At 45.3% G+C, this 24,749-nt stretch overlaps 1 protein-coding gene across 2 annotated transcripts in view, besides 2 other annotated features; it reads right to left on the reverse strand.

The window, feature by feature from the left end:
- Positions 1 to 9,574, reverse strand: part of SYT13 (synaptotagmin 13) — a 46,040-nt gene extending 36,466 nt beyond the window's left edge. For both annotated transcript variants that reach the window (NM_020826.3, NM_001247987.2), the window contains exon 1: positions 9,258 to 9,574. In NM_020826.3, the coding sequence (NP_065877.1) occupies positions 9,258 to 9,440 (183 nt within the window). In that variant the 5' untranslated portion in view covers positions 9,441 to 9,574. The remainder of the gene's footprint in view (positions 1 to 9,257) is intronic.
- Positions 8,969 to 9,755: an enhancer, noted in NCBI's record as "H3K4me1 hESC enhancer chr11:45307287-45308073 (GRCh37/hg19 assembly coordinates)". NCBI's record gives its function as "activates a minimal SCP1, AML or CMV promoter by ChIP-STARR-seq in naive H9 embryonic stem cells {active_cell/tissue: H9 hESC(naive)}" and the evidence as "EXISTENCE:reporter gene assay evidence [ECO:0000049][PMID:30033119]".
- Positions 21,924 to 22,468: an enhancer, noted in NCBI's record as "OCT4-NANOG hESC enhancer chr11:45320242-45320786 (GRCh37/hg19 assembly coordinates)". NCBI's record gives its function as "activates a minimal SCP1, AML or CMV promoter by ChIP-STARR-seq in primed H9 embryonic stem cells {active_cell/tissue: H9 hESC(primed)}" and the evidence as "EXISTENCE:reporter gene assay evidence [ECO:0000049][PMID:30033119]".

Genomic DNA, 24,749 nt, shown 5'->3' on the forward strand with positions numbered 1-24,749 from the left:
AGGTGGAGAAATGGGAACTGTCATACATTGCTGGTGGAGATTAAAATGGTGCAGTTGTTGTGGAAAGCAGTTTAGCGATTCCTCAAAATGTTAAATATAGAATTACCATATGACCCAGCAATCTCACTCCTAGGTATATACTTGAAAGAATTGAAAACAGTTACTCAAATATTTCTACAGGAATGTACTTAGCAGTACTATTCACAATGGCCAAAAGGTAGAACCAATCCAAATGTCCATCAATGGGTGAATGGATAAACAAAATGCCATGTACCCATACAACAGAATATTTTTCAGCCATAAAAAATAAAGTACTGATACATTCTATGATGTGGATGAACCTTGAAAACATGATGCTAAGTGAAAGAAGCCAGTCACAAAAGACCACATATCATATGATTTTATTTATATGCAGTGTCCAGAATAGGCAAATCCATAAAGACAAAAAACAGATTGGAGGAGGGCGGAATAGTGACTGTTTAATGGATGAGGGGTTTTCTTCTGAGGTGAGGAAAATGTTTTAGAACTAGGTGGAGGTAGTGGCTGCACAACAATGTGAATATACTAAATGGCATTGATCCTACACTTTAAAGTGATTAATGTCATGTGAATTTCACCTGAATAAAAAAAGCTTTGAAAATAATGGTAACCTTCACCTTATCAGTACGTAGCTCAATGCCCCTCCTGGAGACATTAATAAATGTTTGATTTATGAATGCATGAATAAATAAATCTGTCTATGGTCTACAATGCCCTGCTCATCCAGGCCCCTTCCTATTTCCCCAGCCTCATTGTTCACCAGGATCTCCCTTTCTCTCTACTCTTCAGCCACACTGGCTTTTCCCCAGGCCCTCGTAAATGTTAGGCTTCCTCCTGCCACAGGACCTTTGCACAGGCTCATTTCTCTGTGTGGAGCCCCCAACATCCTTCCCTTTTGCCCTGGTTAAGATCTTCTCCAACTCTAGCTCGCAGTTTGGCCATCACTCTTTAGGAAAGCTTTCATCTTGTAAGGTACTCTTGTAAAAGCTCTTCATCTTACACTTACAAAGCAACAGAACCTTCTGTTCAGGTTACCTACCACCAGCACACATTTTCATTTATTTGCCCTCTTCTTCTATAAACTCTGGTTTGCCCCATTATACCATAAGCTTTGTGAGAGCTGAAGATGGGTCACTGTGTCATTGGGAAGAGGGTAGTTACCACTGTATCCTCACTTCCTAGCACAGTACCTGGCACACAGTTATTCAATAAACACAACCAAGGAAGAAAGAGGGAGGAACCCACCTTTTTCACCTGTTTTCCTTTATAACTCTATTAGTTCCATTATTTCTTATCAAATTAGTTATAGGGGACCCTTTGTGTGCACGTGTGTTGATTCTGATACATACGTATAGAATCTCTTAGTTCTTAAAACTTGCTTCTATGAAGCTATTCTCCTCCATCCTCAGAGCAGATTTTCCCTTTGTTTCTTAGCAAGAAATAAGCCCTGGGAGTACTGAATACAGTAAGAAGAAGGTGGAAGCGGGAGGTGAACTGCTGCTGGTTATTGGGAGATTGTAGGTCAGTGTGGACAACAAAGGGACTGTCTCCACATATTCGGATTGCTCTCGTAGGTCTTTGATCCTGGAATGGTTGTGTCTTATTTTTTCTCCTCTTTGTCTTCTGGGTCTGATGCTTCCCTCTCCTGCTGGTCTCTTCTCTTCCTTCTGCCTTTGCTTGGGCCCCCTCTGGTTTGTCTTTCAGGTGTTTCCTTCGTCATGATCCAATGGCCTCTCTATCCCTCCTCCTGTGCCCCAGGTACCTCCTCACAACTTGACTAGTATCTGAAAATCTGGAAAGGATGCAGCACTGTTTTCTGCTAGAATTAACAAAAGGTGCTAGTGAATCATCAATTCCATGAAGAGAAGAGCCATGTATCTGAATTATCTACAAACTGTACCCAAAGAAGGAACTAGGGGAGGAAGGGAGATGGGACAGGTCAGACCTGTCACTGGAAAAAAGACTGAGGGACACAGGCTTAGGGGTCCACATGTGAGTGCTTTGAAGAGTATTTCCAGCGGGTATGTGCTCATCTCCCTGAAAGAATCTATGCTAATTTCTTGATGAAAAATTCATACTGTCTTCCACGTTGCTAAGCAACCAGCCCAAACATGTTTACTGTGTAAAATTTCTGTGGAGGGCCCTGGGCTGCACCCAATGCCTGAAGTGTGATGGCGGCAGCAAAGCAATCGAAAGCATTGGGAAAGGTTTCTGAAGTTGACCTACAAAGATGTGTATTTATAGACACTTTTATGCCATATCTGGGGAAACACAATGGCTCAAATAAAATTTTGACTACTTTTTTCTGCTAATCTTCAACCTAGTCGTCAAAAGTGTGGGCTCTGAAGCCAAATTTTGTAAATTTGATTCCCAGCTCTCCCACTGAATATGTTACTTAAGCTTTCTGTGTTTTACTTTTCTTCTGCAAAATGAAAAATAATAATTATGCATATTTCATAGGGCTATTGTGATAATTAAAATTAATATGGTTATGGCCATGTGCAGTGGATCACACCTGTAATTCTAGCACTTTAGGAGGACAAGTCAGGAGGATGGCCTGAGCCCAAGAGTGCAAGACCAGCCTGGGCAACATAGTGAGACCCTCTCTACAAAAAATAAATTTAAAAGAAATTAGCCAGGTACGGTGGCACATGACTGTATTCCCAGCTACTTGGGAGGCTGAGGTGGGAGGATCACTTGAGCTCAGAAGATCGAGGCAGCAGTGAGCCATGACCACGCCACTGCACTCCAGCCTGGGTGGCAAAGTGAGACTGTGTCTCAAAAAACATTTTAATATGGTTAAAATGCTTAGAACAGTGATTGGCACATATAAAGAACTTGATAAATGTTAGCTATTCTATCACTATTATTTATTACTGTATGGAAATACTTCATTGTGGTGGTGGTGGTTTATATGAATGGGTGAGTTCACCAGGCAAGAGATGAGCTAATAGTAAGCTAGAAAATGAGTCCTGTAAAAGTCTGAGAATCCATGGAGGTCAGACCTTACAGCCTTCCAGAGTTGAATCAGTTCCAGGAGTGGGGTTAGCAATTCATGGGGCGTCCTATCATCATTAAGGTACAGGGGAGACTTCAGGAGAAAAAACAACCTGCACTGGAGAAAATTCTACTTTAGGCTGAAGACGGAAGTAATATCCCCCACCCTGGGTTTCCCATGGCACCCTGTGCTTCCCTGATCATGGCAATTGCTTGTTTTATTGTCTGTCTCCCCATTTATCAAGAAAAGCATATGTCTGTCTTTCCATTGCCATATCCCAAGGCCTAGCATGTGCTCATTAATCTTTGATGAATGAACTATTTAACTAATGAAATGCAGCATCTGTCCATCCTCACTCTTACATGTGTGAATTAAAAGAAACAATCAGAGAAGGCGTTGCTCTAGAGGACTAAGGAAGAGGAGAAGAGGTAGGAGGCCTAATAGGACCACACTGATGGTCTTAACGTCCCAATCCCCAGGGGGAATCCTTTATGCAGCACACAGGAGGTGGCCATGGGAGAAACAGCAGAAAGCAAACAGGGCCGAAGAAGCAATTTATTAAAAAAAACACAAAAAGGAGGCTCATGTCTCTTGAATATGGCCCCAAAGTCCTCCTGGCAATAAAAAAATACTGGCCTGGTACTCAATTAATGTTCACAAACATGTCACAATATGACACTTTTTAATAAAAACCTTACTGACGTATAACTGCAGACAGAAAAGTACATAAATCATAAATGTAGAGCTGGATGCATCTTCACAAAGTAAACACACCTCTGTAACCAGCACCCACGTCAAGAGGCAGAGCATGAACAAAGCCCAGAAGCTCTCCTACCCGCTGCAGTCATTTCCTGTCCCCCAGGGTAACACCATAAATAAACTGTGCTGGCTTCAAATCCTGTGTCAGTGGAGCCCTAACAGTATGCACTCCTTTGTGTCTTCCCTCTCTTATTCAGTGTTAGGTTACAAGATAATGATTTAATTCAAAACACTGCCATGTGCTCAGCACCATACCAGACATTGTCAAGAATACAAGGAAAATGAAGGAAAAATTCTCTGATCTTAAGGAGAAGGCTCCACTACACATATATTGTTTGATAGAAATTCAGGCCATGAGGGCTGGCTCACGCCTGTAATCCTAGCATTTTGAGAGACCGAGATGGGCGGATCACCTGAGGTCAGGAGTTTGAGACCAGCCTGGCCAACATGGTGAAACCCCATCTCTACTAAAAATACAAAAGATTAGCCGGGCATGGTGGTAGGTGCCTGTAATCCCAGCTACTTGGAAGGCTGAGGCAAGAGAATTGCTTGAACCCAGGAGGCAGAGGTTGCAGTCAGCTGAGATTGCACCATTGCACTCCATTCTGGATGACAGAGCAAGACTCTGTCTCAAAAAAAAAAAGAAAGAAAGAAATTCAGCACTTATTTATATTATTTTGTAAAACCTTAGAACTAATCTACTAGAGTTCCACTGAAAGCCACTTCAGTGATCCCGACTCTGCTGGAAAGAGGATGGGATTGTAGAGTTTGATCACATGTGACAGTGGGTGGCTGGGGATATGGACAGAAGGGGCCTGGGGGCCAGACGCAGTGGCTCACACCTGTAACCCCAGCACTTTGGGAGGCCGAGGTGGGAAGATGACATGAGCTCAGGAATTTGAGACCAGCCTAGCCAACATGGCAAAGCCTCACCTCTACCAAAAATACAAAAAAATTGCTAGGCGTTGTGGTGCACACCTATAATCTCAGCTACTCAGGAGGCTGAGGCAGGAGAATCACTTGAGCCCAGGAGGTGGAGGTTGCAGTGAGCCGAGATCATGCCACTGTACTCCATCCTGGGCGACAGAGTGAGACTCTGCCTCAAAAAAAAAAAAAAAAAATTGGTGTGGGAACTCCTGCTGAGGGCCAAGCAATTTCAATAAAGCCTTTGGCCATGTGTTAGCTTCAAAGGTACAGCACTGGGGTCACCCAGGGGACCTCTCTGGCATTTGAAAAGACTCACTTAAGTGCACAGCAAGGTAAACACTGTGTTGGGAGAAAACTAGGCCATGAAAAAGAAGGCTTTCTGAAAACAGGAGGCGGGTGCCTGCCAAATGGTAGGGGTACAGGACTGAGCCGTGGGGCAAGGGGAAAAGAGCAGTTCTCCTTTCTTACTCCCAATTCTTTAGGTTGGGCGAAAGGAGGACTTTCTATGAAAGGTCCCAGAAGTGGGCTGAGTGGCAGCCTGTGCAGACAAGGGTGATGAGGAAATTCAGAGGCAGGAACCCATGGGTCTGGCCGCCGCTCACTAATAGATTCAGAAGTAATGGTGAAGGAGAAACCATCATTCTCGCTTTGCCTCCCTGGCTCTTTCTCCTTGCTCAAGCTGCCAGGTCACTGCCTAATAATCAAGCTTCTAGAGGTAGGCTGATGACAGAGAGGTCCCAGGTGACCTGCCAGGCCAGGAGTGGGCGGCGTAGTAAAACTGAATTCCTTGCATACCTGGAAGGGCTGCACATTAAGAGTGAGGCACTGTCTAAGAAGGCAGGATAAAGGGTCCAGAGTGTATATTTCAGAAAAGCAAAGAACTGTGACTTGAAAACAGCTGGAAGCATGAGAGGTAATGAATGGCCGAGGGCTGCCTAGGGACACTTCCTCTGAATTGTTGGAAAAAGCAGAAAATAAAAGACAAAGGGCTGCAAAGCACTGTCTAATAAAACCAAATTGTGAAGTAGCTATATGTTTGCTTCTTTATTAATTCATTAAATAACAGAGTCTAGCAGGAGATTTAATAAGTACCATAATTTAGAATGAGAGATGAGTGTAAATCTAATGTGAACCATCTGCAACAGCTGTAATGTGCTACCAAGCTATCTGTGATTTCCCTTGGGGACAAAGTCACAGGTATGGATGATACGCTATGGTTTTTGTTGCTATTCCTAATTACAGAAAATACTGCTTCAGTTAGAGGTAAGTGAAAATAATGATGTCATTTTTTTCCTATCCAAGACCACAAACCTTTTAATGCTATCTACAGACCCTTTGGTGGGAGGTTTGTGGACCCAGATTAAGAACCCCTGGGGGCAAAGCACAGTGGTTCATGCCTGTAACCCTAACAGTTTGAGAGGCTGAGGCAGGCAAATTGCTTGAACCCAGGAGTTTGAGACCAGCCTAGGCAACATGGTGAGCCTTGTCTCTACAAAACATAAAAAAAATTAGTCAGGCGTGGTGGCACGTGCCTGTATTCCCAGCTACATGGGAGGCTGAGGTGGGAGGATCACCTGAGCCCAGGAAGTCAAGACTTCAGTGAGCCGTGATCACACCACTGCACTCCAGCCTGTGTGATGGAGTCAGACCTTATGTAAAAAATAAACAAAACTCCTGGGAAAACTCCAAATTTCTTTTCAAAATCACTACAAACTTCAACTTCATCCAGCCATTCAGGGTCAGAAATCAGATTTCTAGGAATAGCCTCCAAACCCAAAGAATTTTTTCAGCAGCCAAAACTAGTGAGTTACAGAGACACTGGCTATTAGGCCTTGGACACCTCTGTTGTGATTACAGTCATCTAGACCCCTATTTTCCAGCCTCCATACCTTCTTTCCTCAAGGAACATCCTCAGAGAGCTTCCCTGGCTCTTGTCCTACTTGTCAATAGGTGCCATGTACATCACCCTCCTGTCATCTGTCACCGCTAATGGTTGCCACCCTCTTTACTTGCTTTGAAATGTCAATTGGTTGTCTTTTCTCTATTTACTTCATCTGGGCCAGTGGCTGAATGAATCTGAGAACAACAGCAACCAAGTCATTGTGAGATCTCAGCTTCAACACATTCACACCCATAGATTCAGCCCCAAGTTGCCCACATCTTTGTCACTGAGGGAACCAGGTAAGGGAATGTGGATGGGCAGGTATCATGTATCAACAAATATTTATTGTGCCCCTATTGAGCTTGCACATGGTTACAAAGACATGGTGCATGCACCAGTATTTGAAGATGATAATCCCCATTGGATGACCCCTGAGATGACTTTATTCATCTACAATTTCTTATTGGACACCTACTACTTTCCAGGCACTGAGAGGGTGCTGGGAATAAATATTATACACCAGTAAGTGAATATGAAAGATTGCATCCTAATGTAAAGAGTGCCATAAAAGGATTTGTTAGAAACAATATGGGAGAGAATAACAGGAAGAGGGTGTTTTGTTTTATGTGTCAGTAGGCAAAATCCTCCCTGAGACTTTAAATGGAAAAAGACCTGAAGGATGAGAAGGAGCCATTTGTATGAAAGGCCAGAGAAAAATGAAGGGGCAGAAAAGGGCTTGGTGTTTTAAAAGAATGATCGTAAATCCAGGGAAGCCAAGACTGCTGATGAAGAAAGAAACTGGCATGAGCTTGGCTGGAGAGGCAGGCACCTTCCATGTTAAAGCAGGTGAGTGGGTGGAGAGGAGTGGCTAATAGTGTGGCCACCAGAATCAGACAAGCTCAGCTAGAGTCTGGCTCTAAAACTTCTCTAGCTGTGCAGCTCTAGGCAAGTCAGTTACCTTCTCTAAGCCTCAGTTTCCTCATCTTTAAGTTAGGATCATTCTATGGCTCCCTCACTGGGTCAAGAAACACATTAATTAGTGTACTCTGAACAGTGCGCCTGGCACACAGTGTATGCTATGTCATGGTTTGCTATGACCTCTTCCAAGCTCAGTGAGAAGTTGTGGAGGATTTGAAGCAGGGGAGAGACACAACCTGGTTTTTCTTTAACAGATGATCAGCCGTTCTGTGGGCTACTGGTCATCAATAAGACAAAGAGTTGGAAGAGACCCTAGAGGTCATTTACACCAACTAGTTTCCCAGTGGTTCTCTCTAGGAAGGGGAGGGGGCGGTGCCTGGAGAGACATCACTGAAAGGCAGAAGAGTGGCTGTTCCTCAAGTGTGTTGGGCAGGAAAGAAGGTTGAGAGGCGGCCGACCACGACTTGTGGAGAAGGACTCCCAACACCTGGCCAGTGGAAAGCCCACTATTCCCCTTTTCCAGATCGTCCCAAGTCCCACATTCTGCTGTGCAGCCGGCTCCTATTTAGCCACTGTCAATGTCACTGTTCTTGGATTATAAGTGCCTCAAGGACAGCAGCCATTTCCTTTCCACTCTCACTGTACAGTGACTGACACAGGCCCCACACAACTGGGTCCTCTGAGCTTTTGAATTATTGATTGGAAAAAGGAAGATGGAGTCACAGCATTTTAGTGCCACTCCTGGAACCATACAGTCTATAAGGGATCTAGAGGGCCTTTAGGAGGTCCTTTAAGTCATGCCCCTGCCCCAGGGCCATCCTTCCTCAAATCACTCTAGCAGGACTCTTTGCCTCCTGGTTCTCCAGAGAACATTCTGCATTCTGTACTTTGGAAATGCATCCTGGAGGTCACAGCCTATGCAGGGAAATCCTTCCAAACTGCTTCCCCAGACCCCTTCTGCTGCTCTTTACAATGGGAGCACGGGCTATTTCCTGCACGAAGGGGCTCTGGCCATGAGCAAATGCATGGGATAAAAGCCCTCCTGTCTCCAGGGACGTCTGCAGAGACATCTTGGGGGAGGCCATACCAACCCCCTCTGACTGGCTGGAGCTCAGAGCTGCTAGGGGGTGGGGAAGAGTCCTTCAGGTTCCTCCCGGATTCAGCTCTCTAGACCCCGCTAGCTAGCTTCCCAGCTCCTGCGGGACCGCGGCCACCTCCCCTCTGGCTTTGCAGGCATTACCTCTTCTCAGCTCTGGCAGGACTTGCCCTACCCTGGCTCCACAACCACCACCCATCTCCCTCTCACAGACCCCAGTCTTCTTCCCAATTCTGCAAACTCCTCATTCTCTGGTACCTCTCAGGGTCTTCCCTAACCCTGGCGATTCCCCTCCCAGCCTCCCTCTCCTCTTACCCTTCCCAGCCCTAATTCTTATCCAGGTCCCCTTTCCTGTCCCCTCCCTTTAGGTCTCGCTGCTGGCCCCCATTCTTCTCTCAGTCCCCACAAGCTCGCCGCTCCCTAATTCTCCTTCAGGTCTCGTCTCCCCCATCCCCTAGCCTCCCCCATCCCCCTACCTTTTTGACTCCTTGACCTGTCCTCCAACGCGTCTGCTGTCCCCTCCCCGCCAAGCTTTGTCGCGCAAAGATCCACGACCGCCTCCCACCCCAGTTCCCCCTCTGCAGCTGCCCGGCAACCCCGCCTTGCCCGGGAAGGGCCTGCGCGCCGCCCCCGCTCACCTGTTGTGCAGACCCGAGCAAGCTGGGCTTCGCCTTCTCCAGGTCGGGGTCCTGGTCCCGCGGCAGCAGCCCCTTCTTGGGGTGCATGTGCCGACACAGGCAGGTGACCCCGCACAACGCGAGGATGCTGGTGGCTGTGCCCAGCGTGGCGCCCAGCGCGATCACAGGCACCGACAGCACCATGGTGCCCGCTCCCGGCGAGGGGCTGGGTCCCGCAGCCGCTCACCTTCCCCGGGCCGGGCCCGCCTCCAGGCAGCTCCCGGGATCCGGGCGAGCCAGCAGCTCTCCCGCCGCCAGAGGGGCGGGGACGGAGGGAGGGAGGACGGCTGCGAGGACGTCAGAGGAGGCTGGACCCGCAGCCACGTCAACCGGCAACCCCCTCCCCGCCAACACGTGACCGGACCCCCACCCCAACAGGAGCCGGAGCCTTCCAGGTGGAAGGAGCCTTGGGGTTGTTTCAGGCCATTCTTAATGCTTTGTGTACAACAGGGGACAACTGGGCCCAAGAAGTGCTGGAGCTTGCGGAGGTCACACTGTGTTAGAGGACAAACCTGGGCTCCAACCAGATCTGCGACTCTAGGAGTCACTTTCCCAGACTACTAGCTCCTTGCTCACCCTTCTACCCCAGCAGCTGGCCAAGCTGGCTGTAAAATTGGGTCTTCCGGGAGCTTTTTCAAACACAAAGCTGGAGATTTCCCAGCTCCCCAACCTGGGAGATGGTTCTTACAGGGAAGAGGAACAGGCCACAGGTAGAGGGAACAGATGGGATGTTTGGGTTGAGGCTGTACCTGTGTCCTGCTGAAGATGGACAATACAGCTGCATCCCCTTAAGGGTTGCCCAAGAGTTCACCTTTATTACCTAATCAGCAGGTATTCGCACCTTTATATATAGTTGAGGAAGCCGAGGCTCAGAAGAGAGGTGCACAGGTAGAAAAATCATCACCCTGAACCCAAGCTTATGTTTGCAGATTCCAAGTCCACACTCAAACGGACTTGTCTTAGGAGGATAAAGAAGATAAAATGCAGCAGCTAGGAGTACACACTTGATTCAGAGAGGGTGAGCATAAAACTATGCTTAGAACAAGGGGAAATTAGAATTCCGGGCATGAGGACTGTCTTAGCTCAAGAAAACAGTGGCTTTTTAGTGTTCTTCATTATATGGAGTGTTGAATTTAATTCAGCAGATATTTGCTGTGGGTTGGCTGTGCTCTAGGTGTGCTGGGCATGTGTGAAAAGGGATGTAGGTGATTTCATCCACAACAGAGCTTTCACATTTCTATGAGCCAATGTCTCCTAAATCTATAGCCTCTCCAGCCAGACCTTTTCCTCTGAGCTGTAGCTGTGACCACCACCTGGGAACCCACCCGTCCTCCAGTTTTTCAGCTATCTACACTTGCATAAAAACCCACCGATGACTTACTGGCTTAGACCAGTTATTGTGTTACTTGTCATGATTTCATGGGTTGGCTGGGCTCAGTTGGGTGGTTTTCCTGCTCAACATGTTGTCTTCTGGGACTGCAGTCATCTAGGGGTTCAGCTGGACTGGGACATCAGCTCTCCAGACACCATTGCAGATGGTGCAATGGTGAACTCACGTGGTGAGCAGTAGGTGCTGGCTGCCACTGGGATCACAATGGGGCTGTCAGCTGGTGCATTTTGGTTGTCCTCTATGTCACCTCTCCATGGTGCTGGAGCTGCTCACAGCATGCTGGCTGGATTCTAAGAGGAATGAAGCAGAAGCTGCCAGTTGTCTTAAGGCCTGGGTTCAGAAATTCTAGAACACTATTTGATCAAAACAATAGTCTCCCTCTAGTTCTTTCCTTCAGTGACATCAAAAGGAGGTGTCCAAAATACAAAGCTGATCATGTCACTCACAGCTCTCAAAGGTTCTCCAAGAATAAACCCAAGAGACTCAACCTTTATCCAAATCCCTTTGTGATGTGGTCCCTGCTAAGCCTTCCAGACTCCTCTCTACACACTTCCCAATGTGCCCCTGAGCCTCAGCCACCCCATGGACTTGGGATTCCTTCAACAAGCTAACATCTTTAGAGTCTCCATGTTATCACCCATGGGTGCATATAGCAGGCACTCAGTAACCGTGGAATAATTCATATGATCATCTTATGCAGAATTTCCAGTGTTTTGAAGGAATCCCATTTGTGATATGAGCTCCATTTTAGTAAACTGACTTTTCCACAAGTATTTATTGTGTGCCTGCTGTATGCCAGGCACATTTTCCTACTGATCCCCATTTGCTGCAAACTGTAGAGCTGAAGCACTGCAGTCCCTGGTGACAGCCTTAGCAATCTCTCACATAAGAGCTGCCCTGGGAGGTTTTCTTGGCTCCGGGCCTGGCAATGCAAAATGTTTTGTGGAAATAGAGGTTTAATTAATGCTGTCAGCTCCAGGTCTCCCATGCTCAAACGGCTGCCCTGGGAGACCATCAATGCCACTACTCATAACAGGATCTGGGGTGGGGTTAAAGGGGAAGGATGAAGAACACTTAATATCAGAAAATGTCTGATGGGGAATCAGACACCTGTCACATGATCCATTGTTACTATGGTTACTGGGATGACAGCAGCTGCAGTGGCCTTCATTTATAACAGGAAGAGGGACCCCAGCCCAAGAAGAAGAGCTTGCCTTGTGCCTCTTTCACACACAGTGAACCTATGGCAGAGCTAGGAATAGACCCCAGGGGATCCAAAGCCCAGTTGAGTGATCAGGACTCTGGGCTACCTTTGCTACCCAACCAGTCACCCTCATATATCTCATCAAAGATACGATGTTTGCTTCTTGGCTACTGATATGCAGACAGTGGCCTTTAATGACAACCCACAGAAAAAAGGCATCACTAGGTTCCTTTGAAAAATGAGAGTATGCCTATTGGGAAAGGCAGTTAACTGAGTCAGCTGAGTGGATCAGTTAAGACAGTCTGAGGCTGGGACCCACAAATAATTGGAAGTGCTGAGGCCACATTTCTAAGAGCAGACAGAGCAAGATGCTTAGGAGGCATCTACGAGGCTGAGGGATGGATCTTTGAAGGTTCCCCAGCCTCTTGATGAAATGTTCCCATTGTTATTTTGATCAATATTGTACATGTTAGATGTTTAAATATTCTGAATAATCACTCTGAACTTCTAAGGTACTAAAATGCTTTTATCTGGAGAAAAGGATTTCAAATATAGGAGGTTCTCTTATTTAGCAAACATTTGTGGTGTCTACATATGGTGCTATGCAGGAGGGAGGAAAATATACCAGCGGAATAACTGAATTTTAACATTGCAACGATTTCAGATATCACCTGTGGAATCCTTTTATTTTACCAATAAGGAAACGGAGATTCAGAGACATCATGGCTTGCCCAAAGAGTAGGAGTTAATGACAACTGGGATGGTGTTTTAGGTCAGGGTAAACTGGATTCTGCTGCAGTAACAAATAACTCAAAATGTCAGAGATGAACTCAATAAAAGCGTACATCTCCCTCCTTTCTCAATTGAAGGAGGGTCAGATGACTCATTTGGTCAGCTCTTCTCCAGTTGGTGACTCAGGAATCTGGGCTGCTTCTGTCTTGTGATTCCTTCACTTCCAGCCATGCAGGGAAGAGAAAGAGACTTGAGGACTACTTGTGGCATTCTAGAGGACATGGCTGGAAATGGAGGACACAGAGCACCCCATTCCACTGGCCAGAATTTGGTAACAGGACAAATGTAACAGCAAGAGAGGCTGGGAAATGCAGAGGAGAATGTGGAGATGTGTGAGCAAAAGTACTCCTGCCACAGAAGCCAGAGCCTTGTCTAGTGTATATTTCTCTAATTTATTCACTCATTCAGCAGATGTGAGTTTCTATGACCAGGTACTGTGCCAGGTGATACAGCAAAGAGAGTGAGTAAAACCAGGCATGGTCTCTCTTGCCATGGAAAGTTTATATTCCCATGGGGAAGACGGGTGCTCATCATTCATCACACGTGTCAAATTACAAATGTGATACAGGCTAAGAAGAAAAGGTGAATGTTAGAGACTTGACTTGTTCAGAAATATCACAGAAGGCTTCCTGGAAGAAGTAAGAATTGAGCTGAGGTGTTGAAGAATAGAGTTAACTCAGCAAAGAAAGAGGGGAGAGCGTGCCAGGCAGAACAACAGCATGTTCAGCGGTCCTGTGATGGAACAGCACAGTGGGGATGGAGCAGCGGTGGACTGACCAATCAGCTCTCCAGAAAAAAAAAATAGGATTTTTAGCATTTGTTGATTTTTCTGGTATAAAGTAACCCCACCATGGTCGATTTCCAGCTACCAACAAATTCCTGAATATTTCCCATTGGCTCTTGTGAGCTTGGAGGAGCCAGTTTCAGCACACAACTAGGAGAGTGTGACTGAGCCTGAAGGAAGAAACAGGGGCCAGACAACAGGGCTCAGAGGCCATAGTGGAAAGCCATTGCATGTTTTTAGGCAAAGGAGTGTGATATAATCAGAATTGTGTTTTTAAAAGATTCCTGGCCAGGTGCAGTGGCTCATGTCTATAATCCCAGCACTTTGGGAGGCTGAGGTGGGCAGATTGCTTGAGTCCAGGAGTTCAGTATCACCCTGGGTAACATGGGGAAACCCTGTCTCTAAAAAAAAAAAAAAGATTCCTCTGGCTAAAGTGTTGGAAGGATTGGGGAGGAACAAAGTGACAAAGTGGGTGCTGGTGGACTAAAGAGGAAGGCATAGCGGGCACCCAGGGAGAGAGGCCATGCTTCCCTTCAGGAATGAGGAGTTCATGGCAGGCTGAAATTGTTGACAGCAGAAGGAGAGGGCAGGTACAGTGTGGGCAAGTTACTTTTCCTCTCTGGCCCCCAGTTTTCATCTCTGTGCTGCTAGCTCTCTCATTTGATGACTTTGCAGGTTCTCCAAGCTGGACCATGACTGACTGGGTGTTCCCCAAGCCCAAGTCCCTTGCCAAAGGTGAGATGTGCAGGAGGAAGTTGCCTGGGATAAGGGGTGGAAATTCTGAGCCCCACAGCAGGTCTTGCAGAGCCCAGGAGAAAAGAGATACTGACAGTGAGGAGAGTAAGTAGCGCAGCTCAGTCCAGACCCAGGTGTGAGGTCCGCTCCCAGAACTCCCGTTGCTGATTCTGAGCAATTCTGGGCTGTATCTTAAGGCACAAAGGAGAAAGGGGAAAAAGAGACTGGGGAGGCCTGATCCAGAAATCCAAGTCTTTGAATAGCAGGAAACTCTTCTGGTGTTGCAGCAAATTAAAGTGTTACTGTATTAACCACTAGGTAATCAGCTGCCCTGGAATGGACTTTTCAACAATGCAGGATTCTTTCAAATCCTAATTCCATCTCAGCACAAGATAAAGCCACACTTTCTAGTGCTCATGGGCATGGCTCCTTGATTCCCTTCCATTTATTCTGAAGCTAATCTAAAGGCTCCAGTTGGTTATAGGCTTCTGGAGTGTACAACAATTACAAGACATCGTCTGAAGGATTTTGCCTGCCATATGAGAAGGAAGGTTAGCATTTTTTTTTTTTTTTTTTTTCAGAAATGAGGTGCTTAACCTGGTGGGGCTCATGTGAATATAATAAAAGCAATTCTCTTTTCCAGAAGAATGTCTGAATGTTATATATATATAATTTCGTATGTAACTCTAAATTGTTCAAGGATCATATGATGCCTTGAACCGCAGATTAGAAGTTTCTAGAGTGGTTGAAAGAAGAGTGGACTTGAAATAAGAAGAAATGGGTTCAAATCCTTTGTCTTTGTGTGTACTAAGCAGTGTGATTCATTGGCAAAGTAACCTTGATATTTTGGAGCCTTACTTTTCTTATTGGTAAAATAGGGGCAGTCATCTCTACTTTATAGGGATGTTGTGAGGATGGCCTAAAGCGTAGTGCTGTACAAATAACAGGATTCTCAATTAATGTTAATTTTAAAATTCAAATGATCTCATTTGTTCCTGACCCTCTAATTTCTTAATAAAGCATCTTGGCTTAGTGAAAATAGTGGGTATTGAAGTCCCACAGGTATGTGTTATTCTAGCTCTATTGCTTATTAGCTGGGAGTCTCTGGATGGACGAATTAGCTTAAACTGATTAAACTTTCATTTATTTGCAGAAAGTGGGTGATAAATGATTTGGAAATGTGGTTGCAATTATTCCCTTTCCTGTGTCCACACCCTTTTGCAATGTGACTTTGCAAAGAGGTTGAGTCTATTGATCCACTTCTTAATCTGGGCTGGCCTTGTGATTTGTTTTGGCTAATTGACTGTGGTGGAAGTCACATCGTGCCAAATTCTAAGCCTAGGTCTTGAGAGATCCTGGAAGATTCCATTCTCCATCATAGAATCCTGCCCAGCCACCATGTAAAGAAGCCCAAACTATCTTGTAGGAGGATGAGAGATTAAGTGAGCTTGTTATTCCCATGACCCCAACGCAAGCCAGTTCCCGGAATCAGAGCTCATGACTGAATCCGGATAAAACTAGAAAACCCACCCCGCTGAGCCCAGCCAAAGAGCCAACCCACAGAAAAATGAGCTAAATTAAAATTATAAGTCATTTTAAGCCACTAAATTTTAGAGTGCTATGTGTCAAGGGCTGATACAAATGGGGAGATGATAGTCTCCTTGACAGGATTGCTGTGAAAATACGTAGCGCTAATTTCTGTAAGCGTAGGGCCTGGCACATGGAAGCTGCACAACAAATGGCTTGGATTATCATTCCTGGTTCCCAAAGGCAGTGTTACCAGTACTTCCAGCAATGCCTAATAGATACACCAGCTCATTAACAATTGTACAAGAATCAATCTTACAGACTCCAACACTTGAGAAGGGTACAAAATTAGTTCTCTGAACCAACCTCCACTCAACCAACTTTCCAGATTGGCCCAAGCTATCCACTCCTTCTGGAGAACTTGCTGCCTGATGCCCTCAGCCTCTTCTCTCATTGCTCTTTTTCCCCCTCCAATGGAGTCGTCTACTCACTCAAAGAGTTAGTTGTGTCTGTCTCAGTATCTTTTTATGCCAGTTGATCTCATTATTGATTTATAGACTTTAATTAACTGATATGTAAACTAATGACATAGAAGTATAAAGGAAAGTTAGTTCTGTGAGAACTAAGGTGAGTGCTTTGCAAAGACCCATTAGGGTAAGTTGCTTTTAGAACTGCTGTTAAAATAGATATGAGCAAGTTATCTGTAAAAGGTTGGGACAACTCACAAAATTCTAGAAGGACGCTGCCATCAGATTGCCAGGAAAGTGTCTCCAAGTTCTTCCTCTACTGCAGAGAATGCAGGACTGGAAATCATAAATGAGGCATCATGGATATGCACACAAGGTAACAGTGCTAACGTTTATTAAGTGCTTCCTACACATCAGGCTTGGCTCTGAGCATTTTGTCTGTACTAATGTATTTAGAAATTTAAAACGTTTTGACACAGAGTCTAATCATCAAAATTTGGGGAAACTAATGCAAACTATGATTTAGATTAAAATACAATGTTTAAAGTGTGTGTCATTTTGAACTTACAGAAGTATAACCTACAGATGAAAAGTGCATAGGTCATAAGCATAGCATGGTGGATTTTCAAAATGTGAACTCATCTGTTTACCCAGCGCCTAGATCAAAAAATATAATAATAGTCACATCCCCCAAATTCTTCATGTTTTGTTTCTAGGATTCCCCCATTTTAAACGGCATTTTTAGATAGACTGAGCAAGAATACTCTATGGCGGGGAGGAGGAACCACCAGCACTGCCCCACGAATTGGAAGATGCTGCCACCCGGAGGATGTGGAGGGAAATGAATCCTCCCCTAGGTCTTGACTCCCAGTCCTTTTTTTTTTTTTTTTTTTTTTTTTTTCCTTTTGAGACGGAGTCTGGCTTTATTGCCCAGGCTGGAGTGAGTGCAGTGGCACGATCTTGGCTCACTGCAACCTCCACCTCCTGGGTTCAAGCAAACCTCCCGCCTTAGCCTCCCAAGTAACTGGGATTACAGGCGCCTGCCACCACCCCCAGCTAATTTTGTATTTTCAGTAGAGACAGGGTTTCACCATATTGGCCAGGTTGACCTTGAACTCCTGACCTCAGGTGATCCACCCACCTTGGCCTCCCAAACTGCTGGGATTATAGGCGTGAGCCACCATGCCCGGATGACTCCCAGACCTTTACCTCTCCCTATGAGGCCTTCTTTGCCCTTTATGTAAAATTACCAGCTCTCCACCCATTGTCCCATCGCTCCCTGTTCCCCATCGCCTTACTTTTTCAAACCCTTAGCACGTGTCATTATTTAATATTCCTTCTAATTCTCCTTACCTGTCTAATTTATCTTGCTGATGATCTGAGTTCCTCTTCTGGAATAGAGGCCCTAGGAAGGCAGGCGTAGGGCCTGAGTTGTCTAGCAGTGTATCTCCAGCCCTAGAGCAGTGCCTGGCACATCACAGCACTTCAATACATATGTCAAGTGGACAGACAGGAGCCCTGTCCCTGACCCACAGCCCTGCCCTGTGGGCCCTAACCCAAACCCTGAGGCTTCACTGCACCTTCACACACAGCCCCTTTGCAAGCTCACACCACTGCTCCCCTTCTCCCCATACCTTGTGGTGGTGGGGTGGGGGGGCAAAGGGAGAGTCCAGAAACCCCTGGCACTGTGTAAACTGCTCCAGGGCTGAAATGGGAGGAGCCGTGGCCAGAGCCCCTGGCCACTCTATCCTGTGTCATAGCCTGCGCTAGTGGCAGGCAAGCTGGAAACTCTCACTGTGTCGTGGTTAAGCCAGATCAGTCTACCCTCCAGTGAATTCGAGTTCCACAAAGGAACCAGCTGGGTGGCCTCTGACAATGCACTTTATCTTGGTGGGGCTCAGTTTTGCCATCCATTAAATGGAGAGAATGAAGTGATACAATGGGCATGATGTGGTTCACACAATGCCTGGCATGTGGTTGGCACTGTACTATTGGAAATTATTACCACTATTTTGAAGGGTTAGGGCTGAAAGGAAACCTCAAGGTCCTATAGTCCAGGAGAGGCACTTTTCATTGTTATTTGAAAACTCCGCTATAGTTTTATGTGGGAATTCAGAATAAAAGACAGGGTGCTGTGATGGAAAGAAGGTGGGGGAAAGAATCCCCTGGGATCACTGCATCCCCGAGCCCTCCTCCCCACTGTACACACCATCAGCCTCTAGGGACAGTCAGAGCCACCCCCAAAGCAGTGTGAGACCACCGATGGTGATCTACAGCCTCGTTTTACAGATGAGAACACCAAGGTCAAGAGAGGAGATTTCTGAGCTGGCTCCCAGGCCTCCTGACTCTGTCTAGGGTTCACTTCAGGCTCTCTGCTACTTCCCAAGCCATTCATGGGTTTATTTCTCAGCTGGTTAGTGAAGGGCCCAAGGGGAAAGTGAGCTCTTTTCACCTTACTCAAATCAGGGTGGGCTTCCAGATGGAGCAGGAGGAATTTGGGAGACTTTTGACAAAGACTTAATAGCATGTTGGAGAAGGAATCTCAGACCCAAAATCAAACTGGTGAATTTGTGGAACTTTATAGGCAAAGCCAGGGCCAATGTGGTGTCATGGAGCAGATACCAGAGGCAGTTGGGGAATTATTGTGAAAACAGAATCAAATAATCAGTGAGAAGTACTTTGAAGATTGCTTAAGTGCTAGATAAATGACAAGATGTTTATTGTAATCCATATCATCATTACACTTTATGTTAATCAACCGGCCTGGAAGTTAATTCTAATTAGGAAGAGATTCAACACCATGAATAAACATTACTTGGAGTGGTCTGCAAAATGCTGATTTCCAGGCCCCAACTCAAGAGAGGCTGATTCAGGGATCACCCATGGGTCTAGTGTTGAAGATTAATAAAATCTGAACCTTCATCCTTTGCTCCAGTTCTGTCATAAAAACTGAGTTATTTATTTATTGCTCATAACACTAATGACATTTCAAGTCTTGGCCTCAAACTTTCAAGTGTTCATAATTAACATAAACGTCTCAGGAATGAACAAAGGCAACATTCCCTCTCTTTGACAGCTACAGTGAGAGTAAGTTCTTTTCATTTTTTATTTTTGCAAACAATCTGATTAGATGCAGTGTAAAACTGAGATCATTTGTGAGAACATCCATCTTAGTTTCTGTGCAAGATAGAGACATGTGGAATGTGGCTGACTCTCTTCAGGGATGGCCGTGGATTCCTTCACTCCCTTTACATGGAGAGGCAGTGCCCAATTTCCCTCACTTTTGGTGCGAACTGGCCTTGGTGATTTGCTTGGCCAACAGAGTGTGGTAGAAGTGACGTTCTGAAACTTTCTAAACTAGTTCATAGGAAGCCTCTCAACTTCTGCCTGCCTGACCCCACTGGCACCCTCACTCTGTGTGTTCTTTCTCAGAGTTCAGCTTCTTTTTTAAAATTTTTATTTTTATTTTTATTTTTTTGTGGGTAAATATTAGGTGTATATATTTATGGAGTAAATAAGATGTTTTGATATAATATAAGCATGCAATATGAAATAAGAACATCATGGAGAATGGGGTATTCATCCCATCAAGCATTTATGCTTTCAGTTAGAAACAATCCAATTATGTTCCGTAAGTTATTTTAAAATGTGCTATTAAGTTATTATTCACTATACTCACCCTGTTGTGCTATCAGATAGTAGGTCTTATTCATTCTTTCTACTTTTTATGTACCCATTAACCATCCCCATCTCCTCCTTAATCCCCCACTACCCTTCCAAGCCTCTGGTAACAATCCTTTTACTCTATCTCCATGAGTTCAATTGTTTTGATTTTTGGATACCACAAATAAATGAAAACATGCCATGTTTGTCTTTCTGTGCCTGGTTTATTTCACTTAACCATAATGATCTCCAGTTCCATCCATGTAAATGACAGGATCTCATTCTTTTTTATGGCTGAATAGTACTGCATTGTGTATATGTACCACATTTTCTTTATCCATTCATCTGTTGATGGATCCTTAGGTTGCTTCCAAATCTTAGTGCTGTGAACAGTGCTGCAACAAACATAGGAGTGCAGATATCTCTTCCATATACTCATTTCCTTTTGGATATATACCCAGCAGTGGGATTGCTGGATCATATGATAGCTCAATTTTTAGTTTTTTAAGACACCTCCAAACTGTTCTCCATAGTGGTTGTACTAATTTACATCCCCATCAACAGTGTAGAAGGGTTCCCTTTCTCCACATCCTCACCAGCATTTGTTATTGCCTGTCTTTTGGATATAAGCCATTGTAACTGGGGTGAGATGATATCCCATTGTAGTTTTGGTTTACATTTCTCTGATGATCAGTGATGTTGAGTGCCTTTTCATATGCCTGAATGCCATTTGTATGCCTTCTTTTGAAAAATGTCTAAAATGTCTATTCAAATTTTTGCCCATTGTTTGATCAGAGTATTAGGCTTTTGGTGTTTTGTTTTGTTTTGTTTTTTGTTTTTTGTTTTTTTCCTACAGAGTTGTTTGAGCTCCTTATATATTCTGGTTATTAACCCCTTGTCAGATGGGTAGTTTGCAACTATCTTCTCCCATTCTGTGGGTTGTGTCTTCATTTTGTTGATTGCAGGAACTCAGCTTCTATGTTCTCAGAATGCCAAGTACATGGTGAGGTATTGTATAGAAGCTTCAGTTGACAGCCTCAGCTGAACTTCTAGCCAACAGCCCCCACTAACTGCCTTATGAATGAGCCATCTGGTACATACAGCCCACTCTAGCCTTCAGATGACACCAACCCCTGCCACTATTTGAATACAACTGTCTGAGAGACTCCAAATGAAAACTGCCCAGATGAGCCCAGTCAATCCTCAAAATCATGAGGTAATTACACATTATAGTTGTAAACCACTAAGTTTTGAGACAGTCAATACATCCATTACCAAAACGTGTCAATATTTATGTCCCTGTTGCTAGTTTATTCTGTCTTCTGTTGATATAAATCTATCTGCAGGAAAATAATCTGAATGAAAGGGTCTTATAAAATTCCTAAGACTTTAGAGATTATTGCTATGTCCTGGGAAAATAACCCTCAAAGAAAAACCTGCAATTCTGACCAGCCATTTCCCTAGCAATAATGCTATAAAGGACATCTTGGTATTCTTAAAAAGTATAAATATTGGATGGGCGTGGTGGCTCACGTCTGTAACCCCAACACTTTGGGAGGCTGAGGCAGGCAGATCACCTGAGGTCAGGAGTTCAAGACCAGTCTGGCCAATGTGGTGAAACCCCGTCTCTACTAAAAATACAAAAATTAGTTGGGCATGGTGGCAGGCACCTTTACTCCCAGCTACTCAGGAGGCTGAGGCAGGAGAATCACTTGAACCCAGGAGGTTGCAGTGAGCCAAGATCGTGCCATTGCACTCCAGCCCAGACTACAAGAGCAAAACTCCGTCTCATTATATATATATAGATAGATATATAGATATAGATATATATAGTAAGATGCTCTGTCAAATCAGGGCAGGACTATTGGACTCTCTCACATACATGATCAGGGAGAAAAGCCTTTGGCTCTGTTAGACTTCTTATTTTAATAAATAAATGAGGAGGGGTTTTTTTGCTTTTTGTTTTGTCTTTAAATTAAGATGGGAAATCGACGTTTTTTAACAAACTTCCCACATGCTGCTGGTGTGGATGGGCCATGGAGCACAGTTTGAGAAGCATCAATAATTTGGCTGTGCCTCAAGAGGAGGGCAGGGCCTTGAGTTCTTTTTTTGCTTCCCCGGAACCAACTTTCTAGCGACACCTACCTGCCCTGCAGAAACTCCCCCCACTGAACTCCGAGGCTCTGTGGTGTGCAGGTGAGCCTGAACCAGCCCTGGCTCTGCAGACAAGCCTCGCATGGGACCTCGGCAAAGTTACTTCCCCTCTAGGGGCCCCAGTTGCCTTAATTAACCCCATAGGGTTTTTGTAAGGATTGAGTTAACACAGGCAAAGTGCTTAGAACAGCAGCCATTGCATGTGAAAGGGCCTATGAATACTCGTTATTGTTGTTGTTAATCAGAGTTTTTCCGCCTTTCCCACCATATCTAGTAAGGGCCTGAGGGCATGAAGTGATAGTGGTGAACATGCACTTTCTTGCAAGTCTCTGTAGTTTTACCATTTTAACAAAATGAGTCTGATTTTGTATTCTCCTCCACCATAGATTTTTTTTCGAGACAGCTTCTCGCTCTGTCGCCAGGCTAGAGTGCAGTGGTGCAATCTCGGCTCACTGCAACCTCTGCCTCCACGGTTCAAGTGATTCTCCTGCCTCAGCCTCCCAAGTAGCTGGGATTACAGGCGCCTGCCACAACCCCCAGCTAATTTTGTATTTTTATAGTAGAGATAGGGTTTCACCATATTGGCCAGGTTGACCTTGAACTCCTGACCTCAGGTGATCCACCCACCTTGGCCTCCCAAACTGCTGGGATTACAGGCATGAGCCACCATGCCTGGCTGACTCCCAGACCTTTACCTCTCCCTATGAGGCCTTCTTTGCCCTTTATGTAAAATTACCAGCTCTCCACCCATTGCCCCATAACTCCCTGTTCCCCATCGCCTTACTTTTTCAAACCCTTAGCACTTGTCATTATTTAATATTCCTTTTAATTCTAATTTTTGTATTTTTAATAGAGACAGGGTTTCACCATGTTGGCCAGGATGGTCTTGATATCTTGACTTCGTGATCCACCCGCCTCGGCCTCCCAAAGTGCTGGGATTACAGGCGTGAGCCATCGCGCCCGGCTTCCACCATAGATTTTATCAGCCCTGAAATAAAGTGTTTTAAGTCACACAAGGAGGAAAAACAAAAATTGGTCCTAGGTTTGTTTCTAAGGTTCCTGTTGCAGGCCCAGCACCCCTGTTTGAGATGCTCAGCTTTAAATTGCATATCTCTCTAGATAGCTCCCCATGCTTCCCAATGAAGCATCTCATTACATCTTCTTGATTGGCATTCTGGAGGCACAGGTGAGGCAAACACACCTACAGAGTTATAGCGTGCATCCTGGCTAATAGGGCTGAGTCTGGCTTCCGACTGCCTGGGTTCCAATGCCAGCCACTCCACTTAATAGCAATGACAATTTGCTGGATTTCTTTTAAGTCTCAGTTTCCTCATCTGTACTATGGGAGGGGGGCAGAAGGGAATAGCTATGTTATAAGGAATAAGTTAGGTCATCTAACTTGCCTGGCAACAAAATAATATTGGCCCTAGTTAGGTGGGGTCCTGATGGTAAATACAGGAGCCCAGAGCTTGTCCAAGGCACTCCCTTCAGTGAGCTCCCTGTTAACTGTATGTTAAGGGGTGTGTGCGTGCATGCGTGTGTCTCCTGGTTCAGAGGTTCTCACCTAGGGATAATGCTGCTCTCCAGGGGACATTTGACAACATCTGGAAAGAATTTTGATTGCCAAAACTAAGAGAGGGGGAGTTATCACTGGCATCTAGTTGGCGAAGGACAGAGATGCTGCTAAACATTCTACAGTGCACAAGACAGCGTCTTCAAACCAGCACAGAATCATCCACCCCCAAATGTCAGTAGTGCCAAGGTTAAGAAAGTCTACCCTGGTTAGAAAAGAAGCCCCACGAGAGCAGTGTCCATTATTCTTCTGTTCACTGCTGTATCCCCTGACCATAGCAGAGTGCTTGGTCCTCAAGAAATACTTGCTGAATGAATGAGTGATTGACATGAATGAGTGATAATCAAGATTCTTCGAAGGTAGAGACATCCATGGAGCTGGGTGAGCACAGGGTTTGTCTGTGGATCTGTTTCCCTCCCTGAAGAATCACTGAACCTTGGAGAGAGGGTCCCAAGGCTGGGTGAGATCCAGGATACAGGGCCTCTCTGGGGGCTGGATGGTGGATTGCAGGATCATGCAGTACACACCAGGCATACCATTCCAGGAAAGCAATCAGAAAACTCGGCCAGCAGCCGCCAAGAGTGGATACTCCCCTCAATGTCTCTTGGAGTCAGAGACCATGGGAGCCCTCCGGACCACAGGTATCTGGGAGTCAGGTACTTTGTTTGTACCTGACTCAGCCAGGATAGTTTGTCATCAGCAATTTTGAGTCATTTTGGTGGGGGCTGCAAAGCACTTAGAGTAAATCCTTTGAGGGCCTGTTGACAACAAAATAGTTCTTATTTCAGGGCCAATAATGCAATTCCCTTGCATCTCCTTTTTTAAGGTCATCATTCCCTGCCCTGGAAAATGCTATGTCCCAGTCCCAGCATTTCTGCAATTTTGAGAAGAAGGTCCACATCAGCAAATTCCAGCAACTCCCTGACTCTGGCCCCACATCCATTGGCTTCCCTGGTTCTGAGGCCTTTGGTCTTGGACAGAACCACCCTGCTGCCTTCCCTGGTTCTCCAGCTTGCAAGTGGCCTGTCGTGGGTCTTCTCAGTCTCCATAATCATATGAGCCAATTCCCCTAATAAATCCCTTCCTATATACCTATAAAATTTAAACAATTGATATTGTAATAATCCATTCTTTTATTTAACCCCTTTAGTGGGGCATATCTTT

Source organism: Homo sapiens, chromosome 11 (assembly GCF_000001405.40).
Source record: "Homo sapiens chromosome 11, GRCh38.p14 Primary Assembly".
Taxonomy (NCBI): Eukaryota; Metazoa; Chordata; class Mammalia; order Primates; family Hominidae; genus Homo; species Homo sapiens.